The sequence below is a fragment of the Homo sapiens genome, chromosome 5, assembly GCF_000001405.40.
Source record: "Homo sapiens chromosome 5, GRCh38.p14 Primary Assembly".
Lineage (NCBI taxonomy): Eukaryota > Metazoa > Chordata > Mammalia > Primates > Hominidae > Homo > Homo sapiens.
In genome coordinates, this window is record NC_000005.10 from 73,396,927 (window position 1) to 73,413,073 (window position 16,147).

Here is a 16,147-nt window from a genome sequence, read left to right on the forward strand (position 1 = left end):
TTTGAGTCACTTTCCAGGCAAGGAAACTCAACCAGCTGAAGTGCTTGCTTAGGGCAGAGGGAATATGGAATGGGTAGTGGAAGAAAGCAGTGATAAATACTAGAAATGACCACGGGACCATTGCATAAATGAAGACTGTAATTGTTTGAGTGTTTCTTCTCTTTTTTAGTACTTATATGTTTGTATATATATTGGCCAAATATTTTTGTTTTCTTACCGTCTCTCATCCCCATATTATCTAAGCTGTGTTAAATAGTAATTAATCTTATATACCAGTATTTAAGTTATAGGATTATCAGAAGAGGATTGTGAATCAATTGGAAGAATTAACATCACCAAAAGACAAAAAAAAAGGGCCTTTGTCTCCTCTTCTAGGGAAACTGTTAGTGTGTTTTTGGTTGTATGTGTAATGGTTGTTTCACATCAGATAAAGCATGACTTTGTTATGGGTTCCATTTGGAGATAAAATATGCCCTATGAAGCTATGTAGAGTACAAGTTGACAAAGGGTTGACTGTGGTGGCTTTGTAATGTGTCAGGTTGACTAGATTGAATTACATTTCCCTTACCTCTATGTTTCCAGGTAAGGAGGGTCACAAGAGAGATTCTTGTGTGAGATCTGGTGGTGGGAGAGAAGCAGCAACCTTCATTGTTCACCTTCCAATTCACCCTATTGGTGTGATACGGCAGCCAGGCCAGCAACTGCTCCATCTTCTCCTATACTCTCCTTCAACTGCTCTGACTCTTGGGCCAGGTATGTAGCCCATATCTGTCATGAAGGATGTCAACTTCTACAGACACTCAAACCATCAAGAAGTAGCCAAAACTCCCAGCTCAGCTGGTGACTGCAGGTTCCACCTTCTTTTTGCTCATCCTACTTGGCACACGCCTTTCCTTCCTACCCTGCAGCCTTCAAACTGTCCACCTGCAAATTTAAATTTCTACCTCAGTCACAAAGTCAACAGCCTTACAGAGACTGCTTAACCAGCTCCCACACTTGCTCAAGATCAGATCTCTCCAACAAATTCCTTATATGCATACCTTCTTGTGCTTTTGCTTCTCTGACTGAACACTGACACAGTGTTAAAGAACAGGGGAGCTGGCCAGGTGTGGTGGCTTACACCTGTAATCCCAGCACTTTGGGAGGCCAAGGCGAGTGGATCACCTGAGGTCAGGAGTTCGAGACCAGCCTGGCTAACATGGTGAAACCCCATCTCTACTAAAAATACAAAAAATTAGCTGGATGTGGTGGCAGGCACCTGTAATCCCAGCTACTTGGGAGGCTGAGGCAGGAGAATCACTTGAACCCGGTAGGCAGAGGTTGCAGTGAGCCAAGATTGCACCATTGCACTCTAGCCTGGGAAACAAGAGTGAAACTCCGTCTCAAAAAAAATAAAATAAAATAAATAATAATAATAATAATAAAGCTTATTTCCCTCACATGGTAACAGTTCAAAGGTGGGCAATCCAGGTTGGCAGGACAGCTCTGTCCCACATGCACATTTGGGACTGTATTGTACTACTATTGTAGGGCATTGTCATTACCCACTTGGTCAAAGCAAAGTCTTCACATCCAAATTCCAGCCAGCAGGAAGGGGCAAGAGGGTATGGAGGAGCTACACCCAACATCTAAGGCCCAGCCCTAAAAGAGGCACACATTTCTTCTGTTCACATTCTGTAGGTAAGAATTTCATCACATGGCTTCACCCAACTCCAAGAAAGACTTGGAAATCAATTCTAGTGCAGTAGCCGTGTGCCCAGGAATAAAGGGAAAAGGTAGCTTGGTGAAAAACTAGCTCCCCATAGTGTGCATTTGCATCAGCACACGCACACACATATAATATATAGACTAGTGTTAATAGTGTAAATATTATGATATATAATAATATGTTTTATATAACTATATGTTAATATAAATATATAACTATAATAATAGTATTATATAGTAATACATTAGTAATATAGTTATATTACAAATATAACAATAATATAATTATGATATATAATATTGTTATATAGATTATATTGTTATATATATACAAATATATATATATAGAGAGAGAGAGACACACACACACACACACATGCACACCACTGCAGGGTAGGAAGGGAAGGTGTGTGCCAAGTAGGGGAGAGCAAGGATAAGGTAGAACCCACAATCACCAGCTGAGGTGGTAGTTTTGGCTTTCTTGATGGTCTGAATGTCTGCATAATATATATGTGTCATATAATATATATTATATAATATTAATATACAGTGGTATAAAACCAATATATGTCATAATATTCACACTATTAAAACTAGCCTATATATGTGATATATATCTATATATAATATATAATTATATATAATATATATAGTATATTATATACTATATATTATATAGTATATATTATAATTATATATTATATATTATAGTATATTACTATATATCATATATAGTAATATACTATAATATATAGTATATAATATATATTATATATAATATTGCATACTATAATGCTGACTCCAAATCCTAAAAAATAGCACAAAGGAACCACTAAAAATGAGCTGAGTTACTCTGCAAACAAAAGCTGAATAGCCCAGTGTTATGAAAAATTGAATTGAATGTTTCCAGATTTAAGAGTTTTGTGCTAATAAATAAATAAATAAACAACTACTGTAACAACAAACCCCAGGAACTTTCTCAACTAAAAATCATAATTGATTACAAGCTGTTGCCTCCAGCATTGAGTTACATTTTGCCTTACCAACTAAATGCTTCAGTAGTTAAAATGATTTTGTTTTGAGATTCACATGGATTAAATAGCCTAGAACACATCTACCCTAGACTTAATCTAAGAGAGAGGAGATTTGGTTCAAATGTTCTTCTCAGCATGTCAGGAGATGTTTTCTCCAATTAAATAATCTTATTTTAGTGTTAACTCTGTGCCAAGAAAATAAACAATATATCTTTCATGGACACATCTACTCTGTTGTATAAAAACTTTTATTTTCTGGGAGGCTGCTCTTGGAATTTGTACATATAATGAGATCAGAGCTGGAAAAGTCCTGTTTTCTTTAGCATTTAATGGTTTTGGAAACTGTAAGAGAGCCATGTGACACATTATAATGACAGAGCTCTATGAACAAGTGAATATCAAAGATCTACAGATAATCTTTTCTTCTTCAAAAAAAGTTTTACAAGAATACTGTATTAAGCACAGTGGGATGTTTTCACTCAGTCTTGAGCTGTGTAAAAATGAGTTGCAAGAAAATCTGTTGCCGATCATAGACCAAATGCTGTTATGCTTTCAGCACATTTGAAGGGATTAGGCATTATGGATATGTACTTCCAAGATCAAGTTGCAATAATGCGAAGTCAGGAAAAACACTTAAGATCCAAGTGTCCGGCTGTCTAAAGGATGGCACAGAGAAGGTATAATGCCAAAGGGCTCCTTTTTGGAGGTCTCTGCCTCCTACTCCCAGAGAATGGTTCTGGACAAAGACCTGCAGCAGGAGTCATGTTCTCCTGCTCCATCTCCAACTATCTCAACACCCTCCGTTATGCTCCAGCAATACCCAATAACTCCCACTTCTCCAGACCTGCAATGCTGCCCCTCTCCTCCATGCCTTGCTCTGTGCTGTTTTCTACCACAAAAGCTCCTGTTGTCCCACAAGACCCAGCTCCTGTATCACTTCTTCCATGAAGCCCAGATAGTAAATTATTCTCTCCTATTTTTTTCTCCTGTTTCACCTACTGGTGAGCTTCTTAAAAGCAAGAAACCTTATTGATATTGTTTATTTTACATTCCCATTGCCAGACTCATGGTGGGTACATGATACGTGTCTGTGAAATGAACAAGTAAGTGTTAAATCTAAAAGTGATAAGGGATCTTATCTATTAGCAAACTTGAGGTTTCCTTGCTGACATAGCAAAGGGCCAGTCCCATAGTTCACGGGGGAAGAAGGGAAGAGAAACTGCTTCAATCTCCTTTCTCATTCTCTCCTCAATCTGGATTTGGGTCAACTAGGACCAGTAGTGAGCTTCCGGTTGCCAAAAGTGTTGTGCCCCTTGATTGCTCATGGAATGTACTAATGAACAGTTGCTAGTAGAATTACATAGCAGCTCCTCTGCCCTTAGGATCACAGTGCTACATTCCTTTCATGGACATACACCGGGACAAACACCTGGGTGAAGGAGTGGCACAGAAGAAAACTTCCCCAGACCTGCATGGAAGAGCTTAATCTCTTGAGAAGTTAAGAGGTGGCTTTGCTCTTCCTAGCTTTGTGAATATAAAGTTTAGAGGGAAATTGGGACAGACAAACAGGGGGTTCCAGCCATGACAGACTCATATATGCAGTTTCATTCCTCCCAACAATTGCTCCATGGGCCTTTCTGAGACACAGTGACCAAGATGAAGAGTGAAGAACCCTGTGATGGGAATCAGGAGGACTGTGTCCAATTCCTAGCTCTACTACTACTTGTGTGACCTTCTACCATCTTCTTCATCTCCTTAGGCCTCAGTTTTCTTAACTGGTAACGGAGATTACAATACCTACCCAATCACTTTACCATGTGGTGCTAAGCTTTGAAAAAGTTTGTTTCCACATAATCTCCTCTAAACTTTAAAGGGCCGTACCCACACATGGCTTGTCTCTCACTACTCCCTTGCAAGTACCCACCTGGGCTTCCCACTAGTCCACAAATGAGTTCTTTCACCTGTGAAGCATTAAAATTCTGCTTCTTGATTAACATCAGTAATAATGTCCTGAGGATATCAGGTACCACAGACATGGTGTGAGAAAGAGGGTGTTCTGCTCTAAAACCTATAACCCCAGCCTAACCATGAGAGAAACACCAGACAAGCCCAAACTGGGGTACCTTCTGCAGCAGACCTGGCCAGTACTCCTTAAGACCATCAAAGTCACCCGGATCCCAGCACTTTGGGAGGCTGAGGCAGGCGGATTCCCTGAGGTCAGGAGTTTGAGACCAGCCTGGCCAACATGGCGAAACCCCATCTCTACTAAAAATACAAAAATTAGCCGGGAGTGGTAATGGATGCCTTGTAATCCCAGCTACCCGGGAGGCTGAGACAGGAGAATGGCTTGAACCTAGGAGGCGGAGGCTGCAGTGAGCCAAGATCGTGCCACTGCACTCCAGCCTGGGCATCAAGAGCGAAACTCTGTCTCAAAAAAAAAAAAAAAAGCAAAACCCATCAAAGTCATGAAAACAAAGACTGAGAAACTGGCACAGACCAGAGGAGACTGAGGAGCTATGACCACCAAATGCAATGTGATTACCTGAACTGGATCCTGACCAGAAAGAGAATATTAATGGAAAAATTGGTGACATCCAAAAAAGTGTGGAATGTAGTTAATAGTAATATGACAGTGTTGGCTTTTGGGCTTTGACAAATATACTGGGAAATGTAAGATGTAAAGAGTAGAGTAATTAAGTAAGGGGTATGTAGGAACCCTCTGTACTATTTTTTCAACTTTCTGTATATCTAAACTTATTCTAAAACAAAAAATATGTAATTCTACGTCGACTTGAATTCTACTTTAATTTCTAACTCAAGTTTATCCAAATGTCACCTTCCTTGTGATCCCTTACTTAATCCCCCACCCAGCTCTGACCTTTAGTTCTTCTCAAGTCTCCTAGCACTTTGCTTCCTCCTTAAATGGCATCTACATGTTATAATTATGTGCGTACTGTTCAGACGCCTCCCCACACACATACATACACTGATATGGGAGCAACTGGAAGGTGACTTTTTTTAATCTAGGGAGCCTAGCAGACCTCCTGTCACATGATAAATTTCTTTTTATTTTATTTTATTTTATTATTATTATACTTTAAGTTTTAGGGTACATGTGCACAATGTGCAGGTTAGTTACATATGTATACATGTGCCATGCTGGTGTGCTGCACCCATTAACTCGTCATTTAGCATTAGGTATATCTCCTAATGCTATCCCTCCCCCCTCCCCCCACCCCACAACAGTCCCCAGAGTGTGATGTTCCCCTTCCTGTGTCCATGTGTTCTCGTTGTTCAATTCCCACCTATGAGTGAGAATATGCGGTGTTTGGTTTTGTGTTCTTGCGATAGTTTACTGAGAATGATTTCCAATTTCATCCGTGTCCCTACAAAGGACATAAACTCATCATTTTTATGGCTGCATAGTATTCCATGGTGTATATGTGCCACATTTTCTTAATCCAGTCTATCATTGTTGGACATTTGGGTTGGTTCCAAGTGTAAACTAGTTCAACCCTTGTGGAAGTCAGTGTGGCGATTCCTCAGGGATCTAGAACTAGAAATACCATTTGACCCAGCCATCCCATTTCTGGGTATATACCCAAAGGACTATAAATCATGCTGCTATAAAGACACATGCACAGGTATGTTTACTGCGGCACTATTCACAATAGCAAAGACTTGGAACCAACCCAAATGTCCAACAATGATAGACTGGATTAAGAAAACATGATAAATTTCTAATAAGTGTTTATGAATGGATGGATGGATGGATAAATAGCAGCAGCCTGTGCTGCCAAAGTATAGAATCGCTACAGCATGTTTTTGTTATGCAGGTTTAGCAATACAAAACATTTTCCCAAAATAGATTATTCTGTGGACTCAGGCAATGTCTGCTACTCAAGGCAATGCCATATATTTGCAAAACACCTTCCATTCTCAACCTTTAAACCTATTTAGAAACCACCACTTACTAATTTTCATACCCCCTCACATGAAATACTTTTGGCATAATTTAGTAATCCAAACTGTACATACCACAGGGGATTTGAAAAGTACCTAATTAAAGATACAATGCTGTGCTCACCTTATCCTGGGCTTAAATCCGCTGAAATTAGTGAGCATTTGGACCCAGGGGAGGAAGAATTGAGGCAGTTTTATAGCTGGGGATTTTAAGGGATTTGAGGCATCAGCACACTAGGCTTGAATGAGAAAAACAGGTTAAAATCAGGGATAAATAAGATAGTTGGAAACCAAACAGGGTGTCAGAATTAAGAAAGAAAATTGGAAAATAGTGAGAGTGTTATTCTGAACTGCTAAATCAAGGACATGAGAGAGGCCAGCACAGGAGGGAAAAAAAAAACTGAAAAAGTTATAAGAAATGGTATTGTCGTCACCTAATGTCCTCCAAAAAGCAGAGCTTGAGACATGAATTCACATGTAGGTAGTTTACTTTTAGAAGTGAATCCAAGTAACAGGAGTGGGGAACTGAGAAGCATAGGCCTGGCTGGTTCAGTTTTTGGTGTGATCTCAGCTTGCTGCAGCCTCAACCTCCTGGGCTCAAGTGATCCTCCCACTTCAGCCTTCCAAGTAGCTGGGAATACAGGCATGTGCCACCATGCCCAGATAATTTTTTTATTTTTTTTGTAGAGATGGAATTTCACCATGTTGCCCAGGCTGGTGGTTGATATTCTCACTGTGGGAAAATCAAATTTTGAATATAAACTGCAATAACTGGGAATGCATGTAATTATGACAAATTGCTATTATATTAATGCAAATGGTCACTGTTAATAGTGGTTTAGCTAAATTTTGTATGCTTTAAGGAAAATATTTCAACAGCAACTTTTATAGTTTGGAAGTCCTGTGACAATGAGTAGATGGTAAACCCTATACACAATTAACTCCTCCAGGTTGCTAGGTGCTAAAAAGTTTCTGTCTATCAACCAGCCAGGTCCAGAGACAGTAGTACTATTGTGACTAGCATCATTTCATTTCTAAACCAACTAAATGAAAGTAAAACCCTTAGGAAAACAGTAGTTATTACCAGTATTGGGTTAGTGGGAAGAGATTCATTTGTCCTCCCAGATTCTCCTATCTTACAACCAGCCGCTCCGCGACAGCTCCCTTGCAGAAGCTGATTCTACATACACACGATGGTAACAGTTGCTTGACCATATACTTCGGCCTTCTCCCCTCAGTCGTTTATCCAAACATGGGCAGATTAGGGGCTCAATATTCCAGAGGTTAAAAAAAAGAACTCCAGGCCGGGCGCTCACGCCTGTAATCCCAGCACTTTGGAAGGCCGAGGCAGGCAGATCACGAGGTCAGGAGATCGAGACCATCGTGGCTAACACGGTGAAACCTCGTCTCTACTAAAAATACAAAAAATTAGCCGGGCGTGGTGGCGGTGCCTGTAGTCCCAGCTATTTCGGAAGGCTGGGGCAGGAGAATGGTGTGAACCCAGGAGGCGGAGCTTGCAGTGAGCCGAGATCGCGCCACTGCACTCCAGCCTGGGCAACAGAGCGAGACTCCGTCTCAAAAAAAAAAAAAAAAAAAAAAAAAAAACTCCAGTTGTCAGAAATGGAACTCAGAGAAAGTAGTCTGCACCTCTGTTAGGATCACTGTGGCTGCTATTGCTTCTGTGGGTATGGAGACCTAGCCTTTCAGGGTGGCTCAGGGCCATCAGCTCTCTTTCCTTTTGCTGTCTGCCCTTGCGGTCATGATGTGGAGCGATTTGAGAAAGGTGCTTGGCATGAGTCCTCCTTAGCTTCTGCAGCAACCAAAACCCCAAGCCAGCTCGGAAACTCAGTCCCAGGATCTGCACTTTGAGCCACCAAGACACCCGAAGTGAATGTTACCATGCCTCAGTGTTTAACAGAGACCACCTTCCTCTTCCCAGAGCCTCTCCCCACTTAGCACTTACGCAGGTGGCACATTTTATGAAAGAAGACTACACTTGGAGGTTAGTGACCTGGTTGTTTCTAACTGGCCAAGTGGCCTCAAGTAATTAACAATCTCCTTGGACTTAAGTTTTCTCATTTATAAAATGTGAGTGGAGTTTCAGAGTGTTTTTCAGCTCCAAGATGTTATGATGTAAAAATCCTGCCAAGATAAATTTCTTAAGTTTGTTTTCTTGCATTTCCACACTGCCCTTCTCTCTACTTGACCTGCACATGGAAAGTATCTGATGCCTCACCCTTCCACACCCTCACCAGACACTTGAGAAAATCTGGAATGTTTCTTTTATAAAAGAGCTTGAGCTGTATTTTCTAAACACTTGGTTCCTCTTTCCCAGTAAAATCCCTGCCACCTCTTCAAACCGTAGTGAGTAAGCAGTCCATCAGAAAGAGCTAATTCTTATCAGGTTCCTTGAATCTAGCAATGAATTGGGTTATTTTAGACATCTTTTTTCTCTGTGAATCAGCTAACACCAGCCTACCTATTCATGTCTGATACACCAAGGGATTCTAAGTAGGATGTTTCTCATGGGGAAAAAAAGTGTTTTGAGAATTCCTTTGCCCATTCTGGCCCAAGAGAATTTCAGTTGGCAACCCCCAGGCAGAGTTGCAAACCTACCTTTTTTTAAAAAAAAAACAAAAAACAAAACAAAACAAAAAAACAGGGTCTCACTCTGTCACTCAGGTTGGAGTGCAGAGGCAATGATCATAGCTCACTGCAGCCTTGAATGCCTGGGCTCAAGCCATCCTCCTACCTCACCCTCCTGAGTAGCTGGGACTACAGGTGTGAGCCACAACGCCTGGCTTGCAAACCTACCTTTTTATTTATACAGATGTTGTTTATCACCAGGAAGTTGTGGAGAGTTGTTTGGGGGGTGGTGATTGAAAGCAGCTCTTTTGTTCCAATATTTAAAGGAAGTTAAAAACCAACTATTTAATGCAGCTTGCTTCATCTAGAATCCACCAAATGTTTTCATTCTGATAGCATATTTTGGAGCCTGGAGATACAGAGCACTGCAGTTCTGGAGACATGTTTGTTTAGTGAGAATGCTCCTCAGGCTGCTCTGCTCTGAGTCTGGCTCCCTTTTTGAAGTAAAGCAATCGCTTGCTACTGCATGACGCTCTATTCTGCTGTTTAGTGTTGGTCGTTGCTTGACTGATGCTGCACTGATCTTCATTCTGTTCCTGGCCCTGCAAGAAGACAAGTGCATCATTATTAAAATTAATTTATTTTACTAGGACAGCACCAGTGATCAAGGTACATAGAGCAGGACAGCCAGTTTCCACAGCACGTGAACAGCAATTAGCTTGATTCTCTGCTTAGACTTAATGACAACATGGCCCTTTGGGTTAGAAGGCAATGAGTGCCAGAATTCCCTGGCCTCAGAGAGTGATGTGAGGGCTGATGCTGAAGGGAGGAAAATCAGTATGGCAGCTCAGGTTTTTTAGAAGTGACTTGAAAACTCAATGTGAGGTCTTCCTCCTATCCAATCATATCCAGATCTTTCTTCCTTTTGGATTATTTCAGTGTTTTATTTGGCTCATTTATGATGCATGAGGAAGTTTCTTTTCAACAAAAGGGTGAAAGCAGCACTTCTCTTTGTTTAAACACTTCAAATGTGAATTCATTTGCAATTTTGACCCAAGAAGCTAAGCTCTATTCCTGGCTCCACCACACAAGTCATTTGTCCTCTCTGGACCTAATTTATTCACCTGAAAAAAAAGGGGGGTCGGGGGGTTGAGAATAGACCATTTTTTAGAGAACTTCCTACCTTATTTGCAGATCCAGTGCATAATAAAAAGATAGGGCCTAACATTAAAATGAAGAATTTCAAAGCAACAACAATGGAGCATTAAGCCAGATCCAGGTATGGGGCCCACTTGCGCACAGGGCCCTGCTCAGTGGCACAGGCCACACGCATGGGTCACACACTGGACTCAATCTCTTTCATGCCTTCTCCAGCACCAAACTTCTCTGATATCACAGCCTTTGCTTTCATCTACATGTGCACACTCCTCACACAAAAATAAACAGAAACAAAAGCAAAAACAAAAGGCTTCAGTTGCAATTTTTGCTTGATATCTACGTCATTTTTCCTTTTCACATCCCTTTGACCATAAGTTGTACCTCAGCCCTTTCTCACTTCCTTTTATTCTCCAAGATGGATTTTCTTCTTTCCTGCCTAAAACATCCAAATGACCTTTGCTTTGAGCTTTTTCTAAATCACCATATGTTAGATAATTGTGCCCAGAGGAATTACTTCCAGAGTGGCCTAAACACAAAAGAAAACACACAGCCAACTTATTCTCTAGAACAGTGCAAACATTTCCTTAAACCTAAGTGTCTCAAGAGGAAAACTGACAGAATAAACCTTTCACCCAGCAAGTCCACTCTGGGTAGTGCTTGTACTGAATCCTTCCTGCATTTTTACATCCCTGATTTATCTACTGTTTTGCCAATAAAAGCAGTCCCGTTCTTTGATTTAGGTTTCTTTATAGTGGAAAAGTGACCAGAGAAAATGACTCAGTTGAGTGTTTTATTAATGGGAAGAACTGAAATGCCAGCAACAAGCCAAGTTCTTTGCCCCTTCTCTGTCATGTTACACCATTATACAGAACCTATCTGGGAAGTAGGAGGTTGCAAGTTAAATGCCAGCAAACCTATGGCTTTTAGATGACAAGTTCACAAAAAATGAACAGCCACAAAATATAAGGGGATGTCAGCCTTCAGAAGTCAAATCTGTCAGTAAAATGTAACAATTACAAAGCAGCTACCAAAAAAGAAGGATTCTTTTAACATGTCTTATAAGAAAATAACTTTGATTTCTTGCATGAGTTTTTCTTCTATGTCCAAGTTATGGAAGTCTCATTCAAGTAGGTAAACTTCCCATACAAAATTTCATCATTTCAAATCAATGGAAAAATCAGATTTATCCTTGAAATTAACTTCCAGAATTTTAAGAGGAAAAAGTGACTTCAAATCTGTTCATGACTGACAACCCAACCTCAAAATGATTTATTTTCTGTTATGAACATTTGGGGTGTCCTGTTTATTATCAAAAACAAATGCATTTACTTCTTTAATCTTACAAAAATTCAAAAGCCCATTTGTCTCAGATATTCAAAATCATATAGGGTCGGTTTTAAGGTACAGTTTAAGGAAAAGATGTTACGAATACTGATAAACCATTGTCTGGTTTACGACAATTGCAAATATTTGAATACCTACCCTTCAAAATATGAGTGAACAAGCCTATAAAACAATAAATGTCCATCTTGAGAGCTCATCTACTGCTCTGCCTAGTGGCAGGATTATACTGAAACTCCCTATGTTTGTTTCCTAGGGCTGCTGTGACAAAGCACCACAAAGTGTGTGGGTTCAAATAATAGGAATATGTTCTCTCATGGTTCTGATAGGTGGAGGGCTGAAATCAAGTGTCAGCAAGGCCATACCCTATCTGGAGGCTCTAAGGGAGGATCCTCCCATGCCTTGGTGGTTTGCCGGCAATCCCTGGCATACCATGGCCTATAGACACATCACACTCCAATCTTTGCCTCCATTGCCACATGGCATTCTCCCTGTGTCTCCTATCCTCTTCTTATGTGGACACCAGTCACCTTGGATTAAGGGCCTATCCTACTCCCATATGATCTCATCTTAACTAATTATGTCTGCAATGACTCTATTTTCAAATAAGGTAACATTCTGAATTTCTGGAAAGGGCATGAATTTTGGAGGGATACTATTCAACTTAGTACAACCTCCAAAACAAATGATAAACTTTCCTGTGTTTAAGTGAAATAAAACAAAAATAACTTTATAAAGTGTTCTGGAGAAGAAAAGCTCAATGAATTCCCCAAGAATTCACTCTTTTCAGCCATCCGTCCCAGCGGTTCTCAAAGTATGATTTAAGGGCAACTCGCCTCAATTCAACTTGGGGGATTAGGGGCTTATTAAAAATACAGATTCAGGGCTGGGCGCGGTGGCTCATGCCTGTAATCCCAGCACTTTGGGAGGCCGAGGTGGGCGAATCACAAGGTCAGGAGTTCGAGACCAGCCTGGCCAACATGGTGAAACCCCCTCTTTACTAAAAATACAAAAAAATTAGCTGGGCATAGTGGCGGGTGCCTGTTATCCCAGCTACTCAGAAGGCTGAGGCAGGAGAATCGCTTGAACCTGGGAGGCGGAGGTTGCAGTGAGCCAAGATAGCACCACTGTACTCCATACAGATTCAGGCTGGGCACGGTGGCTCACACCTGTAATCCCAGCTACCCAGGAGGCTGAGGCGGGAGAATCACTTGAACCTGGGAGGCGGAGGTTGCACTGAGCCAAGATCATGCCACTGCACCCCAGCCTGGGCAACAGAGCAAGACTCTGTCTCCAAAATTAATTAATTAATTAATTAATTTAATCAAAATTAACGTACAGGAGCGGTGAAAAAGAAGAGGCAAGACCGGCCCCCAGACCGACCAAAGCCCACGTGCCGCCACACCCCACGCCCAGCGCGCCGACGTCCCGCCACTGTCGCTGCCACCATCATGCCCAAGAGCTGAAGGGGATGCTAGAGATAAAGCCAAGGTGAAGGACGAACCACAGAGAAGATCCGCGAGGTTGTCTGCTAAACCTGCTCCTCCAAAGCCAGAGCCCACGCCTAAAAGGCCCCTGCAAAGAAGGGAGAGAAGGTACCCAAAGGGAAAAAGGGAAAAGCCGATGCTGGCAAGGAGGGAAATAACCCTGCAGGAAATGGAGATGCCAAAACAGACCAGGCACAGAAAGCTGAAGGTGCTGGAGATGGCAAGTTGAGTGTATGCATTTTGGATAACAGTGTACTTCTGGTGACTGTACAGTTTGAAATACTATTTTTTATCAAGTTTTATAAAAATGCAGAATTTTGTTTTACTTTTTTTTTAAGCTGTGTTGTTAGCACACGGAACACTTCATTGCTGTTTTTGGGGTAAGGGGCATATGTCACTAATAGAATGTCTCTGAAGCTGGATTGATGTGAGGAAAACAACTTTCCCTTCTAGTTTTGAGAGACTTCCTCTTGGCTCCCAGGAGGAGGGATTCCCTGACTTTGACACACATGGCCACCTTGGCACAAAAGCCTTGTGGTATGGAAATACAAATCCATTTTTATGTCCTCTTCTCCCTTTCCATCCTTCAGCATAGACTTAACTCCCTTAAGCCCAGACATCTGTTGGGCTGACCCCCAGTCATTGGTTACCAGTGTGTCAGGCAATCTGGACTTTCCAGTGATGCCACTGAGATGGCACCTGTCAAAACAGCAGTGGTTCCGTTTCTAGATTATGGATCTTCAGATAAATTCTACCATTTTCATTTAACTTCCTGAAAGTCAGGGTCGGCTTGTGAAAAGTTGTTAAACAACATGCTAAATGTGAAATGTCAACCCTCACTCTAAACTTTCCCTGTTCAGAGCATCAGATGAAGACTTTGTTAGATTTTATAGTGGCTTTCTGATTTTGGTAGTCCATTGAAGAAGGGAGTTTGAAAGTTGTTGTATACTGTTAACAATTGTCTGCCCATATCCTGCCTGAAATGCCATGATTGTTTATGGAAAGTATCTTTAATAAAGCTGGATACAGTTTGGCTTGGAAAAAAAGAATTAAAATATAGATTCATAGGCTCCATCCCAGATCCACCAAGTCAGAACTGCTAAGTTTAGAGGCCAGGAACCTGCATCTTAAAGAAGCTCCTGGGGGTTTTATGCACATTAAAATTTGAGAACCACTCTCTATAGTGGCAGAAAAGTCGGCCTTACATTCCCCATAGTGCTTTGAAATTCATTCCTTACTTTTCCTCTATTTTCAGGTGAAATTGAGAATAGCTGGTCAACAAATTTTCTTATATTTAAAAAACATTATAAAGGTACTCTTCATTCCTTTTTCCCCTCCAGACTAAATAATATAAATACAAATAATATTAATTCCTTAGTCTTGATAGGATGTATTTTCTAATCATTAAATCATTCACGAACTCTGGTCAAATTCTTTCCTCTCCAGAATCATAGACAATACCCTTTGACCATGGAAAGAGATCCCACTGTTTAATATTTCAGATTAGAAAAATCAGAAGCCTAGAGAAGTCACACTAAAGCCATCTGTATTAGTCAGGGCTTTTCACAGAAATTGAACCATTAGATACATAGATACATATATATTATATATCTATATAATATATAATATAAATATATACAATTATGGAGGCTCAGAAGTCCCTTCATCTGCAGGTTCGAGACCCACAAACGCTGGTGGTGTAAATTCCAGTCTGAGTCCAAAGGCCCAATTTATCCAGGGGCACCAATGGCATAAATCCTACTCCAACAGCAGGAGAAGACTGATGCCCAGCTCGCAGGCAGGCAGGAAGAAAAAGGGACGAATTCCTCCTTCTTCAGCCTTCTATTCTATTCAGGCCCTCAATGGATTGGATGATGCCCTCCTCCACTGGAAAGGGTAATCTGCTTGACTGAGTCCACCGATTCAAATGCTAATCTCATTTGGAAACATCCTCACAGACACACCCAGAAAGACTGTTTACTCTGGGCACCCCTAGGCCTAGTCAAGTTGACACATAGAATTCACCATAACACTATCCTAATCAGGGTTATTTCCAGCCATGAAAAAATGTATACTTATGAATTGTTAACTTAATGGTATCTGCCTCTATCTAATTCCTCCTTCCTTCCTGTTAGCCTTTTGTGTTGACTTTGATCGATGAAGGAACAAACCTAGCACTTACAGGCTGTGTCTGAGCCCTGTCGTGCCACAGGAGGATGTGAGTGATGAGACTGGGAAAAGGTACTCATGAGGTAAGTCCTAAGCAACTTTTCACCTGACCTTGTGAGCTTTTGAGCTTTTGCAAGTCTTGAGAACCAATCATACCTTTTTGAGCAACACAAAAATGACACTTGGTGAGGGCCATAGACAGCATTCTGATACTGCTAGAGCCAGAAGGCTTAAAATCCTAGCACTGATACCTGCTATTTCTCAGCCTTTAGTTTTGCTCTCCCTTGAAAGAACTCTGCTGATCATTCACATATGCATTCATCAAACATGAGTCAACATTCCCTGAATATTCACAGTCTAGCAGAGTTACAACAGGTACTATGAATAACGAATCTCTGAATAAGAGAGAACTTTGATGAGTTAGAGGAAAGGAAGAAAATAGAAGGGTTATTCAGTTTCAAACCACACTGATTGAATGATTCAGAGCCCCTTTGTGTGCATCCACAAGAAACAGACAGAGCAATAGGGAGAGCCAGGTCACCCAAACTCCTGCCATTCATACTCTTCTAGCAGTAGAAAAAGTACCACTACTTGGCTAGTACCCAGCCACATATTTCCCATTCTAGAGACAACTATGGGACTTTACTGAGAGTGTCTTTTTTTTTAGTCAGACTAGGAAAGTTAACAGTTTTAATGGCTTTT

General features: G+C 41.0%; 1 long non-coding RNA gene across 1 annotated transcript; it reads left to right on the top strand.

The window, feature by feature from the left end:
- Nucleotides 1-524: 524 nt before the first annotated feature.
- On the top strand, nucleotides 525-14,325 carry LOC107986383 (uncharacterized). The gene is made up of 2 exons (XR_001742516.2): nucleotides 525-753; nucleotides 13,131-14,325. It is a non-coding gene; the product is annotated as an uncharacterized LOC107986383 (long non-coding RNA).
- Nucleotides 14,326-16,147: the final 1,822 nt, after the last annotated feature.